Source organism: Homo sapiens, chromosome 8 (genome assembly GCF_000001405.40).
Source record: "Homo sapiens chromosome 8, GRCh38.p14 Primary Assembly".
Taxonomy (NCBI): domain Eukaryota; kingdom Metazoa; phylum Chordata; class Mammalia; order Primates; family Hominidae; genus Homo; species Homo sapiens.
The window spans coordinates 87136150-87151518 of NC_000008.11; the positions used below are offsets into that span (position 1 = coordinate 87136150).

General features: G+C 33.0%; 1 protein-coding gene across 4 annotated transcripts in view, besides 1 other annotated feature; it reads left to right on the forward strand.

Moving 5' to 3' along the window:
- Window positions 1-15369, forward strand: part of CNBD1 (cyclic nucleotide binding domain containing 1) — a 562238-nt gene that overhangs the window by 269735 nt on the left and 277134 nt on the right. The gene's annotated exons all lie outside the window — the stretch shown is intronic.
- Window positions 4457-4958: an enhancer, noted in NCBI's record as "NANOG hESC enhancer chr8:88152834-88153335 (GRCh37/hg19 assembly coordinates)". NCBI's record gives its function as "activates a minimal SCP1, AML or CMV promoter by ChIP-STARR-seq in primed H9 embryonic stem cells {active_cell/tissue: H9 hESC(primed)}" and the evidence as "EXISTENCE:reporter gene assay evidence [ECO:0000049][PMID:30033119]".

The following is a 15369-nucleotide window of genomic DNA, read 5'->3' on the forward strand; positions in this document are numbered from 1 at the left end:
CAACTCAAAAGCAATGGAAGTATTCATAAGGGAATACTTGATTCTTACTGAGCTATTGGTTCTCTGCTTTCCATGTCTGTCTAGGCCAGTACTTATTTTCATGGTTAATTTACATCTCAGTGACTCCATATTTTTAGAAGTAATCATAATTTAATTCCAAAGGCAAAATACTAATATGAAATGTGGTATGATTCCTTGAATAACACATGTAATTACTTTTAACATCTCAATTAATGTGGAAGATACAGGTAGATTTTTATGGGAAATTTATAGGCTTAGAAAGCTATAATTCATTTTATTAATAGAATATGTGAGCAAGAAGCATACATTTTGCTTATTTATTGATTTTTTTACTTCCTTATTTTTATATTATATATAAATTATATATTATATTTATATTATATATAAATTATATATTATATTTATATTATATATAAATTATATATTATATTTATATTATATATAAATTATATATTATATTTATATTATATATAAATTATATATTATATTTATATTATATATAAATTATATATTATATTTATAATATATATAAATTATATATTATATTTATAATATATATAAATTATATATTATATTTATAATATATATAAATTATATATTATATTTATATTATATATAAATTATATATTATATTTATATTATATATAAATTATATATTATATTTATATTATATATAAATTATATATTATATTTATATTATATATAAATTATATATTATATTTATATTATATATAAATTATATATTATATTTATATTCTATGTAAATTATATATTATATTTATATTCTATGTAAATTATATATATTTATATTCTATGTAAATTATATATATTTATATTCTATGTAAATTATATATATTATATTTATATTCTATGTAAATTATATATATTATATTTATATTCTATGTAAATTATATATATTTATATTATATGTAAATTATATATATTATATTTTTATTATATATAAATTATATATATATTTTTATTCTATATAAATTATATATATTATATTTTTATTCTATATAAATTATATATATATTATATTTATATTCTATATAAATTACATATTATACTGCTGGAGTTCAGTGGCTCTATCTTGGCTAACTGCAAGCTCCGCCTCCTGGGTTCACACTATTCTCCTGCCTCAGCCTCCCGAGTAGCTGGGACTACAGGCGCCAGCCACCATGCCAGGCTAATATTTTTGAATTTTTTTTTTTAGTAGAGATGGGTTTCACTGTGTTAGCCAGGATGATCTCCATCTCCTGACTTCGTGATCCGCCCGCCTCAGCCTCCCAAAGTGCTGGGATTACAGGCGTGAGCCACCGCGGCCGGCCAGATTCCAATTTTAATCTTGAAAACAAACTTATAACACGTTATAAACACGTTATGTTAGTGTTTCCATGGGAACACCTGAGAGGAGCACCTGGCCAAAACCAAGGAGTCAGGGAAGATTTCCTGAAAGACGTGCCACCTTGTCTCGTTAAATGTTAAAGGAGGAGCAGTGGTTATTGATTTATTGATTTTTTTACTTCCTTATTTAATAAGAAATATCAAATTAAAGCATTATAGTGAATTGGAATGGGAAAGCATATGAACGGGAAAAGTTTGATTCAAAACAGTTATAAGGATGGGATGTAGAAGGATCTCTGCTCCAGAGAGAAGCTATGAAATAATAAGAGGGAAAACTACTTAGGACCTGTGTGTCTTCCATGAGGTAGTGGAATGAAGAACTTTTCAGAGTTTCTGCCATAATTATGGTTATGATTCTTCATTTTGTTCTTGAAGCCCTTGGGGGGAAAAAAGGAGAAGCATAATCTTTATTATATTTCAAATTTAACCTCATTACATAAAACCCCAAAATATCTAATTCGGATTATTTCTTAAAATGTCAATTCTTTTCCCTGATAGTTACCAGATAGGTTAGTTGACCCAGAGAATGAGGAAAGGCACAAAAGTCCTGTTTTTCTTGGTCTCTCATCAATCCAAGAACACAGAGGGATAATTTTTGTCTTCCTATTTGTTCAGTTTTTGAATCAACAACTTTCATTTAGAACTGGAGTTCCTACTATTACACTGAATATAGTGAAGGAGGTTACCAACTGAGTGCAGTACAATTTGAGAACTTTGATGCACAAGAATTCAGGAATGTGGGAATCCAGTTGTAATCTAAGCTCTCTACCCAGATGCCTCATTCAGTGGGCAGTGGTGACCATTTGCTGTCCTTCTGCTGAATTCCTGTCAAAGATCCTTGTCAGCAACCGAAAAGAAACAAGGCAAATTCATTTATGGGTAACTTCTCTGTTTGCAAGCATCACTTCTTACCATCCCTGTGTTACAGATAAACTTACTGCACAAACGCAGTGGTCTTTATCTGCTCCTGCTGTTTAGTGGAAATAGTGTTTTCTCAATCTCTTCTGGGTTAACCACTGCTCCTCCTTTAACATTTAGTGAGACAAGGTGGCACGTCTTTCAGGAAATCTTCCCTGACTCCTTGGTTTTGGCCAGGTGCTCCTCTCGGGTGTTCCCATGGAAACACTAACATAACGTGTTTATAACTATCTGTCTTGGGGACTGTTGTCCACTGAACTATAAATTGCATAAGGTCAGGGAATATGTCTTCACTTTTGGATTTCCATCGTCCAGGATTGATCCTGGGCAATAAAGGATTCACGATAAAGCCCTGGTGAATGAATCAACAAATGAATTTCAATAAATGATGTACTTAAAAGGCAAATTAACTATGATATATTTTAGGAGGCTTTATTGAGTAAAAGTGATTGAGCTTTCCCATGAATGCATCATTTGAATAACAATTTTTAAATTAACAGGTTAGAGAAGAGGAGATAATTTAGCAGCTATTGGTTGGCATAGTGGCCTCTTTTGTCGTAATTTTTCATTCAAATTCTTGTTCTTGTTGTGAAAGGATGATATTGTGAAGGTGTACACCCTTTATTTTTATAATCCCTGCAATTCCTTTGTTTATTTCTTAGTTCTTTATTTTCAAACTAGGCCTTGGCTTTAAAGCCCTGCCATGGAAAGGAAGGTGATAGCAGAAATTCAAAGTAAAACAGAAAAAGTCATAGGTTTTATTACTCTTATTACATCACAAAAATAGATAATAAACTCTCATAGGACTGGTTGAAGAAAGGATAACACCTAACTAGAGTAGGTATTGTGAAACAATTGTGTCTCAGGAAGGAACCTGTTTCTATTTCTATTACATTGAGTTCTAACCACACAAACAAATCTTCAGACTTATTTAGGGATCTGAGGGCAGAAAGAGAACCCAGGAAGCCAGTGCAGTCCTCGTTTCATATTTCCCTGTGCCATGTGATCAAGGTTTGATAGCAGAGGAATACACTGACTAATTGGCATGTATGGGCAGAGAGAACTTGGGAACAGCCACCTTGACTGCTGCTGCCTAGAGTGGTGTCAGGGAGCAGGTGAGGTTTTTAGTTGAGTTGGAGGGCTTGGCTTGAAGGTGTCTCATGGTAGATGGAAGAGGCAGCCATAAATGATAGCACAACCAAGCCGAAGGACCGGAAGAAATGGGTGGAAAAATTGATGCCAGCAAAGACTAGGGGTCAAAGGCCTCCTCCACAAGTTGTTGATGTTGTAAGACAGCCTCTCCTCTGTAGACACTGAATGTCAAAGCTTCCCCTGAGAAAAGATCAAGGAAACTGTGCAGCTTTAACTTGTACCTCAACTGACTATGATGAACATATTGACTTGATGCTATCTACCTTTATTTGGAATGGAGGCTTGAATTACAGAATAATTTTCAGAGAGATCAAAAGTTACATTTGCAGTTCTGACTTCTTAGTGTGACATTATCTTACTCATTATATTAGTTTCACCAAGATCCAGTTCTCTAAAATGAAAAGGAAAAAAAAATTGTAATAACTTCAAGATGGGGATCCATCTTCTGTGTCCCACACAGAATAGTCCATTAATGCTGACAAACATATTTTCCCATTTATTGCCAACAACATGTTATTTCAGGACTTTATATTGTGTATGTTAAATTTCTGTCTCTGTCTCTCTTCTCTCTCTCTCTCTCTCTGTCTCTCATACACACACACCTTGTACAATATAGCTCACCTTACTGAAATAACAAATAATGTGAAAATGTTATGTATTCGATCAAAGCCACAAAATAAATTGCAGAGATAGGTTATAGATTGAGGTCTATCTCCCTTCAGAGATTTTGTACTTCTCATTTATTATTGTGACCTGAAAGAATTGATACTTCCTCAAACATAACCTTGTTACTTTTTTCTTACTAATTGCTGGCAAATGATAAAACCTTCAGCTTGCAGATGACTTCTAAAAAACAGTGAATGGAAAAGAGCCTTGATGGCTTAAGTAATCTGTTAATAGTAAAAAGATTGATTTATTATAATATTGTTATTTATTGAAGTCATGAGATGGCAGGAGAGAGTACAATGGGGTATTGAATTTTTATCTAGAGAAAGAAGGCATTGTGTTATAAATTTTTTAAGTTCAATTTTTTAAATTACAGTACTATATCAAGATTCAGTTAGAAGTATTAAAAATTCAAAGATTCAGCCATTTCAGTTGTCAAGCATGTAGAATCGCAAACTTTAATAAGAAAAAAAGTTTATCAAAAGATGAAATGGCAAGAAGCCCTAGAGTAGGCATAACTGGTGACAGTATGTGTGGTGTCATTACCACATTCCTCTGCAGGATGCCACACATTCCAGTCCCTTGTCTTTCCATCATTAAATAATACATAGTGACTTTTTTGGGTCTCCTAAATCTTTTGTTTTCTTTAGCGAATATTAAGTTGTAAAAAAAGACCATAAAAGGAACATGTTTCCTAAAGTTTTTACTTCTGAACATTAATAAAATATTCTGTCAACGTTGTTAATTATTTTTATTTTTAAACATGTAAAGGTTGTGCAGTTCACACATGGTATTTACTATTGGATTTTGTAGAATCAATTTACTTAGTAGAAATACCCTTAGTTTGTAAACAAGTCATCTAATTTTCATTTAGCTATATAAGTACCACATAAAAATTGATTATTCTCTTATAAAATCCTACGGTGACTTATTTCAGCATTCTATATTTCCAGTGATATGATGTAGAAATCAATGCTGTTGTTACTAACTTAATGGAAGTATAAGAGTTGCATTTGATGTTGATTTCTATGTTCCATGAAGAGGAAGAGACTGTGTAAACATATATGTTCTTACACTGTCAATATATATGTTGACAGAATATTATAAAAGGTTAGTTCAATTACTGTGCAGACCTATATTCTAAATTATCAGCAAATCACAGCACACAGCCAATTCTCCTAACTATAGGCAATGTCCGTTTAAGACAGCTGTTTTTCCAACCATTTTTAATATTTTCTGGGTTTAGGAATTTTCCAAGTCCTCTTAAGTACAGCTTATTTCAGTGGTTGATTTTTTTTTGGTCTCTATGTGTAATATTTTCAAATAACAATAACTCCAAAGGGTGAAGATATAAAAGATTTGTAATAATATTAAGCAAATGAAGAGCAGCAGACGTATTATTAACATGACATATAAAATGGACAGGATAAATTAGAAAAGGTCCTATAGGAGCACTCATAAAAGTTTTCATCTAGCCTTTTGCCCAATTATATTTTATATTCTGAAAGAATGGAAACAATCTCTCTTAAAATTTTATAGCACTCAGGGCCTATACTAAATCTTTCATATGTTTTCAAATTATTCATTTGCAAAAATTAAATTTATACTGTAATTATTTCTTTAAAATTGGGTAGACTCAACCAGTGGCAGTGGTTTTAAAAAGACTCCTTAACTGTGAAACAGAATTCATTGCATAAAATACATTGGAACATTCACATTCAGTTATTACGACACTAGTCTTTCACTTGAATGTGTCTGTTTATGAATTTATTTGTCAAGAAATTTTTGAAATCTATTTGGTGAAAGTAGAGAAGAGAGAAAAAGGATAACAGATGAGGTTACCAGGGAACGTTATGAAAAGAAGGTTGTGTTTGGGAGAGGTGTGAAAATTTGGAAGAGTGATTATGGCAAATAAGAAAGACTGCTATTTGGAGATGAGTAAAATTCTGTGAAGAAAAGTGAGGTTGGGAATAATCAGTAATGAAGTCCTTTGCCACAATTTTATGTATTTTTCCAAAAGCTTCAAGTAAGAGCAGATAAAATGAACTGCAGGTTTTTCCACAGATAACCTGTGAAGGGTAGGATTGGGGACCGTTTGGTTGAAATATTTAGTTACGAGATTTAAGGTGGATATAGAATTACATGAAGACAGGCTTGTTTTAACATTACAATATATAACTAAACTGTAGTGTAATTAGGCTAAATACATTTAACTCTTCATAAGGTTATGAGAATGTTTAGAAATAAAACATAAAACATAAAAATTACATTAAATTGGTACTAAATCTTACATAGTGCCATATTTATCTACATATGCAAAAGTGTACATTGTGTCTCTCTCCTACATTCATAATTATACAGAATTAATCAGTTTGTGATATCTTACTTTTTGCTTCAAATCAATCATTAATTTTGAAGAACTTTAGATTAAAAATGAATAGGCTTCTGTAGATACACTAAAATGTCGGATTCTGGTGAACATTTTCACAATCTTGGCTGTTTGGCCAGTTTTTAACAAACCTGGAGTTTTTTTGTTGTGCTCGTTGTTCGTGAGATTTTCGTGTGTCTGTGTATGCATTCATTCAACAAATGTTGAGTTTCTGTTAGGTAGCAGACATAATTCTAGACATCCTGAATATAGTTGTGAACAAAACAAACCTAGTGTCTGTTCTCAATCTTAGGATCTGATTCTAAATTAGGGGCTCTGTAAATAATTAATCACTTACAAGTCAAACCGTTTAATTACTTGGGTACCTTGTTTATTATAGTTAATAGCTTTTACTTGGCCTTTGCACCTGGGGTCATCCTAGCTCCACTAGAAACAGGCAACTCAATTGAATTACAGCAGGTTCACCTGCTTTTGTAGCTATGGTATAGCTAACCTTTAATTCCTAACATCAAGTCTTCATATTCTTTTCTCTACAGTATGCCAAGGGATGTCTGAAACCTTAATTCTTTGAAGTGGGCATGACATTGGTTCTAAGTTTGGGCTAACTAACCCACCATACCATTATGAATGTAGTGAGCTTTTCAAGCCGGCAGATTGTCTGCTAAGGGCACCTACATCAACACATTTAGTTCACTCAAGTCCCCTCAAACTCAATATGTACAAATATGCTGTAGTGTTTGTTATTAAACATGCACAGATTTCCATTTATATCAGTCTGATCAAAATAATTTACTTCCATATGTGGTTATTTTAGACATTATTTAAAGAATGTAAAGTAATCCTGAAAATGTCAAATGAGTATTACAATAACTTCACAAGGCTATTGATTCTTTCTGATGAATATACTTATTTGTCTTATAAAATTTATACTTATTATTAAGGAATCAGAGCATTTAAAAAATAGATTTTTAATTATTGTACAAAGCAATTAAATATCCAAACCTGTGTTGAATCAGGACTGTGAGTGATCTTAGTATGTGAAATAGTAATGTTTTCTGATGGCCAGAACTACATCATCTCTATTGGGAGTTCACTGTCTTGTTTGTTACATGGAGAATAAAATCTTTTATATGTAATTTTTAAAAAACATTATTTTAAGACAAAACCTTAGTTTTACTTTTTGCAGTGCTGCAGAATAAATTCTGATAAAACAACTGTTAAAGGGTCCCTATGATAAAATAACACTGCGTCCTGGGTAAATTATGACAAATACAAAGTTTACTGCACTTCAAGAATTGCTAAAATAAGTTAAATCTTAAAGGTGCCTAAAATAAAATGAAATGATAAAATAAAGCAGTTTGTTCTGAAGGAAAGTGCATATTTCAGTGGTGTGATGGAAAGATAAATCCATGGGAGTCCAGCAATATAGAGAAGCTGAATTTGAAATTCCTACGTTAAGCTTGGAACCTTGAAGGGACAAAAGTGTTCTCCGGTTGATAAAACCTTCTAAAACCAGAAAGGGCAAATGCAAATTCAAATTCAAGAGAAAACATCTTTCATTTGGTTCCAAACCAATCTCACAGATTATATTTTAAAATGAGTTTACTTTAGGAAACACAATTACTAAGCATGGCAGAGAATAAGTCACCATGGTTGATATATAGGGAAACAACAATAGACTTATTTCCCCCAATGACTTCAGATATTGGAATGATCAAATTTAAGATATAAATTACTTTGAAACATATAAAGGGATAAAAATAAAATGGAACTGATATAATTACAGGAAACAATCAATAATGTCTTGGTAGGTTTAAAAACTATCCCAATAGAAATTTTAGATGCAAAAAAATGTAATTGTAGAATCCCAGCACTTCGGGAGGCCGAGGCAGGTGGATCACCTGAGGTCAGGAGTTCAAGACCAGTGTGACCAACATGGAGAAACACCATCTCTACTAAAAATACAAAATTAGACAGGCATGATGGCATGCACCTGTAATCCCAGCTACTTGGGAGGCTGAGGAAGGAGAATGGCTTGAATCCAGGAGGCAGAGCTTGCAGTGAGCCAAATTGCGCCATTGCACTCCAGCCTGGGCAAGGAGAGCGAAACTATGCCTCAAAAAAAAAAAAAAAAAAATACTTGAGTGAAAAAGATAGATAAAGTTTAGTAGAGAGATAGGAAAATGGATGATAGAGTTTTGGGAGCTAACCAGAATGTAATACAAAACATAAAAGGAAGTAGAATATAAAAGAGTGGTTAAGAAATATGTATGCTAAAAGGAACAGTAACAAATATCTAACTGGAGTTCTAGAGGACAGAATAAAGAAAATGGCAGAATGACAATATTTGCAAATATAATGGGTGATGATATTCCAGAAGTAACAAAAAATTTATAGCATATGCTATTAAGGTGTCAAAAGAAATTTTTATTTAGGTGCTTTTTAGTAAGTTTGAAGAACAAAGACAGAATGAAAATTGTCAAAGCAGCCAGTGAGAAAATACACATCAATTACAACAGAATGACAAATAGATTGGGAGTGGATAGCTTAAGAGTAAAATGAAAACTAAAGAACAATAGATTAATAATCTTTCAAATATGAAGAAAAATTAATGTCAACTTTAGAATTTGTACCTGTCAAAAATATCTTTCATGGATGAAGGCAAAATAAATATCTTTTTAGATATGCAACATTTAACACATGTTAACCAAAGAAACTTTTAAAATACGTATTTTGGAAAGAAATGAAATAACCCCAGATCCCAGGTTTGAGATACAAAATAAAAATCATAGGCAAATAATCTAGATAACATAATGTAAATAAAATACTGTTTGTATAAAGTAATAATGATAAGTATGAGAACAATTATTTTTAATTAAATACAAAAGGAAAGAGAATAATGAAAAACCATAGCATATAAGATGGGATTGATTAGATTTCAAGTGTTGGAAAATCCTTTTACTATTTGTGAGAGGGTTTATAATCCTTCTTGACTTTAAATGTGTTAAACCAAAATATTAACATATCTGCAACAAGAAAGAACAGAACACTATAGAGAAGGGTTGAGGATTTCTGGGTTGTCGACCTTTGGGGATCCTTTTATCCCTATTTCAGTTCATGGTGTACCAGACTTTCCCATTTAACAGTCCCAATTTATACTTAACTGGTGTGTTCAACAGAAGTTAACAGTCTGCAGGATCATATTTTACTTTCTACTTTTGGCTACCTCAGCTATATTATCATTATTATAGAAAAATATTGGTTGTATTTTATATCTCAGGATAAAAATTTAGAGATTAGGACTTATTTTCATTCCTTCTTTGACTCTGCATTGGAAGGTGAAGTCCTGTCTCCAAATATTTTCGAATTCTTTTTCAATATAAATGGTGTTTAGATTCTACGTTGCTAAAACTTAATAGTGCCCAGTGTCCTCTGTTCATTTTAGAATTACATAAGTTTTACAATTATAATTATAGACTTTTCTTTCTTCCAAGTGAGATAAAATGTCTTGCTAGTGCTTACTCTCCTAAAATTATAATATATTTGCATACAAATAAAATTGTTATGACTGTTGGAATTATTTTAAAAATGTTAATCAAATTATCTATACTAGAACTGGTAACCCAGTTACATATTTGTGTCTACACCTTTACTTTTTCAACTGCATAATATGTGTTATGACACTTGCCTTGAGGACACCAATGAAATGGATATTTCTAAGTCGTTTCTCCAAAGTCTTTAGTCCTAAGTGTCAAATTGTGCTCTCAACTTAATTTATTTTGTTTAGTAATTCATTGAGCCCTATGGCTTTAAATATCATCTTTATGCTGGTAAACATAAAAGGCATAAACTTGAATTCCCCTCCCCTACCCATCCTGTAGTACTGACCTCTCCATTTGGTGAGCAGTGCTGAGCCATTATCCTACTTATTCCAGCCACAGCATAGGAATTTTCCATGGTTCCTCTTTTTCTCTTACTCCTGTCCACATTAGCAAGTCCTATTAAGTATGCATTCAAACAAACAATGTCTTGAATCTTTTAATTTTTCCATCTTATTATGACTACCTTAGTGCAAAACACTATCATCTGTCACCTAGCTCACTGTAATAACCTCCTACTGATTTCTCTGCTTCTACTCAGGCTTTCCTCAATCATTTATTTTTTAACCAAGGTATGTGTATATATATGTATCTATGATTTAAAAATACATTAAAGACACAAATCAAATTATGTTCATTATCTGCTTTAAATCTGCCAGTGGCTTTCTATGATACTTAAAATAAAATTGGAATCAGTTGCTTGTCTGCAAAATCCTCCCTTCCATACCATTTCCTCCATCACCACCATGCCATCAGTGCTAGCTGTTCCTTCTTTCAATTCTCTCCCTCATCTTTTTAAGACTGACCCTCTTGTCATTAAGATCTCAGACTAATGTAATTTCTTAGAGGCTTTTCTGACTACTAGAGTTACCTAGTCACTCTGTACTAAATGCCTTATTTTTTCTCTATGTGATATGTTATTATTTATTTTTATCTCTGTATATCTCTCTATCATCTATGTAATACCCCCTAATTTCCAGAATATAACATCCATGAGAGCAGCAGCAACCTCATCACTATTTTTCACACAAGCCATTAGAATACTACCTGGGCTTTTGATGGTGCTCATTAAATATCTCTTGTATACATGAAGGACATACTTTTCTGCTGTTTTGAATTAATACTTTATTTTTTTTTTACTTATGTAGCAAATTTTGTTAATGTGATTGCTTATTGATAATGGCTAGTGGTCTTATCATCCAAGAATTTAAAATATATATATTTCTGACTACATTTGTAAATGTCTTATTCAATATTTAAATTAACTTAAACCTTCTTGAAATAATGCTCAGAGTAATTTCTACTAAATTGGTTGAACTTTGAGAGCTTCTAAAACCTGCACATGAATAGTAATTTATTTCTGTCTAGTCCAAAGTTGTTTGAATATGACATGATTTAGCCTATTTTTTTAGTACATGGGATGCTTCATAACTTCAAGAATAATAAATTTTAATTTTGAGCACCCTAGCCCAAAAAAAGGAAACTGTCAGCACTGATCTAGTTTTTAGTGAATTCCCCTGCAATGAAGGACTGATTGGGTTGTGGTTTTAAAGCTACATTAATTCTGTTTCTAACTCTTTTACTTTCTATTTTTTAGGAGTATTTGTTACAGGTTTTCATATCTTTAGTATAAATTATCTTTCTTTATGCAGGATACCTTTCTGAAAAGGGTCCGTTTAAAATTTCTAGGCAATGTATTTTTCTTTTAGCATGTTAAATTAGAGTTTTTTAAAAAGTGTATGTATTGAAGAAAATACACTGTCAAATAGGAGATATTCATATATGCATTCCAATAGCAATCAGTTGAACTTTTGAATAAGTACTGTAGAAAAATATTTTTCTGAATGGTGCTTTTACAAATTAAATTCATATAAATGATTCAGATTTTTTACCTTCAACCTTGTCAGGATTTAAAGTATTCTCTTTTTCTGTTTCCTTTTGGTTTCATCTTAGGTAGTAGTCTTTATAAAGGCATTTACATTTTTCAAAAACTTTCTTGCCTTAGAGATGGCGTGATTTGTCATTAAATTAATTGGAACTACTATATGTTGAACTTGATCGTAAACATGTGTACAAAATTATACTTTTAAATTTGGTGATTTACCATGGCAAATCCTATGAAGTAGGTTTATTAATATTGTTGTCATTATTTATTTTACAGAACAGAGATTCAAATGGGTTAATGACTTTTCTGGCAAGATATAACTATGAAGAGGCAGAATTAGATTTGCATTCAGGCTGTTCTGTGGCAGAGAAGGGGAATACTAATCTAGAAACAGGCATAGACTAACGTGCTGTGATGTTTAATTTAACTATGGAACACAGAGCTCCTGGGGAGAGCACTGACAGGCAACCCACCAAGCTTTTGTAAGTCATGTGCTGCCAAAATTCCCCTGCCCTGATGAAGAGGGATCTGGATCCAACTCAAAATAATATGGTAGGAGCCTTAGTCACATATTCAGACCTGAGTATAAAGGATAAAAACAAATAAATTTGAGCCTATATTTTCAGAAGTCTCTGTAAGCTAGGTGATAAGTTATGACTGTTATGATACTACAGCTGCTACTACTCATAGGGGATTAGTTGCCAAGAAAAGAACAAACAAACAAACAAACAAAAAACTCAGGCAATCTCCCTATCTGATGAAACAATTCATTTCACTGCAAAAGGAATGAGGTCCCAGTTTTCTCACCATTCCCACCACAGTCATGAGAATTCATATCACAAAGGTGGTGGTCTACAGATTCTCTTACATGCTTTGAATCAATGGGGCACACAACTTGAATACCTAGGCTCAGAAATCTAGAGGTTGAAATGTCTTTTATTTCTTTCTGTACGTAGGTAGGATATGTTATTTCTTTGTTATTACTGCTAAATATATAGTGTGTATTGATGGTGATCACATTTAACATTGAGTGTACTGATTTCATAAAGGAAAAAAAGAATACCTGGGTGGTTTGTCACTGTACTAGAGGAGAGATGGGCCTCCCCTGGATTGAGGATTATAGTCAGACTATTGGCAAGAATTTTTTGAAATGGCATTATGACATTTTTTTCGAGATGAAGGGTTGCATAATTTTGTGTTGTCACGTGATTGGAAGTGGTGAAGATGCATTTATAGTGAATCCAAATAGGAAGGTGATGTTAAATAAGAGGCATCCTTGGCACTCTGTGCACAGGAAGAAATGTATGTGTGTTGGAAATCCAAGGGTAGAATATCCATCATAGTGTCTGCCATTTTCACATGCTGCCCCCTATCCTGATTCAGTTGGTGGCTACAGATAAACATGTTTAAATTTCAGGTATCTTGACTCTCTTGAGCATATATAATTGGACTTGGGGATGAGACCCTGATCTAAGGTAGGGAGTTCATAGACTGACCTACAGAGCATGACGTGGACTCTTGTAAAGGGATATGATGTGTCTTTCTCTTAGCAAGTCAAACTAGAAAAAAAATAGTTTAAATCAGGCTGTAATGAGAATAGAAGGTGAAATGATGGAGCAGATTTACGGAATAAGGATCAATGGCCATTGGTCATCCCAAATCATGAGAAAATAGAAGATAATTAATAAGGAAAAATAATAAGGTAGAGGCTGGGTGCGGTGGCTCACGCCTGTAATCCCAGCACTTTGGGAGGTGGAGGAGGGCGGATCATGAGGTCAGGAGATCGAGACCATCCTGGCTAATACGGTAAAACCACGTCTTTACCAAAAAAATATAAAAACTTAGCCTGGCGTGGTGGCGGGCACCTGTAGTCCCAGCTACTGGGGAGTCTGAGGCAGGAGAATGGCGTGAACCCGGGAGGCGGAGCTTGCAGTGAGCCGAGATGGCACCACTGCACGCCAGCCTGGGTGACAGAGCAAGACTCTGTCAAAAAACAAAAACAAAAACAAAAACAAAAATCAGGTAGAAAACAGCTTTGTAGGATGGAAAAGAACAAGGCAGGTATTTGATTTAGAAAGCCCATATCATTAGGAATAGAGAAACATTTGGTTACAAAAAATGACCGTACAATAGAGTGAAGGTCTATATGGCTTTTCACTGCTGTTGAAGTCTGTAGAGTTCATTGAATCCTAAATAGTGTTTCAGTACCAGTTCCTGTGAAGCTAAACCATATTAGATTAATATTCTTTGTTTCTTTTTGAATGAGCTAATATTCCTTTCCTCTCAAGAAAGAGAACTAAATCTGAATTGCTTAATTTAAACCCACAATTTATTTAAAGATTTTGTCAAAGAAAAAGTGCATTGGATAGAATGAAACAGGCAAGGAACGTTTTATTCAATTGTAATAGAGGTCAAAATTATTGCAGTAATGGAGATTGAACTCAACTCCTTTGAAACAAAAGGCAGGTCGATTTTTAAGCTCTGGGGTGAGCTAATGGAAAAGTACTACAGAATGTTGTGGGGAGGTTGTCAATGTGATTAGCCCATTTGTGTTTGCTAATTGATACTTTTTGAAGTTAGGCCCCTACTCCCAAACAGAGACTAGCAGATAGGGGCTGTGTCTTTCTTGATGATTATATTTCAAAGAGATAGCTCTTGGGTGCTTGAGAAGGACATTTCTGGGTTGTAAAATAACAAAGAGGCTGGGGAAAAAATTACATCTCAAGAAGCAGAGAAAGAATTTACAGTTGTAAGTGTTCTAAAATAAATGCTTTAGGAAAAAGAAGGTCGGGGCCTATCTTCAGGAAGAAGCCTATCTAAAGTTTGGCTAAGCTGAGGTAACTTTAAGGTTAATGCTGTCTTCTTCAATTACCAGAGGAATTCACAGATCTAAAAGGTGTTGCCAACCAAACTTCAGAATGGCAGGAAGCAGAAAGACTGCAGGTACCTTGGTGGCCAGAAGTCTGTATGTTTTCCCCAATACACCATCATTAAGATGTCATCGTTTTCTGTCCTTTGAAAATTACCAGGAGCATCCTTTGACCCAATTTAGATGGGGTGCGTACATATTCATTCATTCATCTGACAAATACCAAGTATCTACAATCTACCAGATACTGTTCTAAGCACTAGGGATATGTTTATCAGTGAACAAAATGTTCAAAATTCTCCATACTAATGAAACTCACATTCTAGTGGGAAAGCAACATATAGTAACCAAAATAAGTAATACAAGTATATAGCATGTAGATGGTGTTGTTTTGTAAGCAATACAAGTATATAGTATGTAGATGGTGTTAAGTTTTGCAAAGAAAATTAAAGCAAGGAAGGGG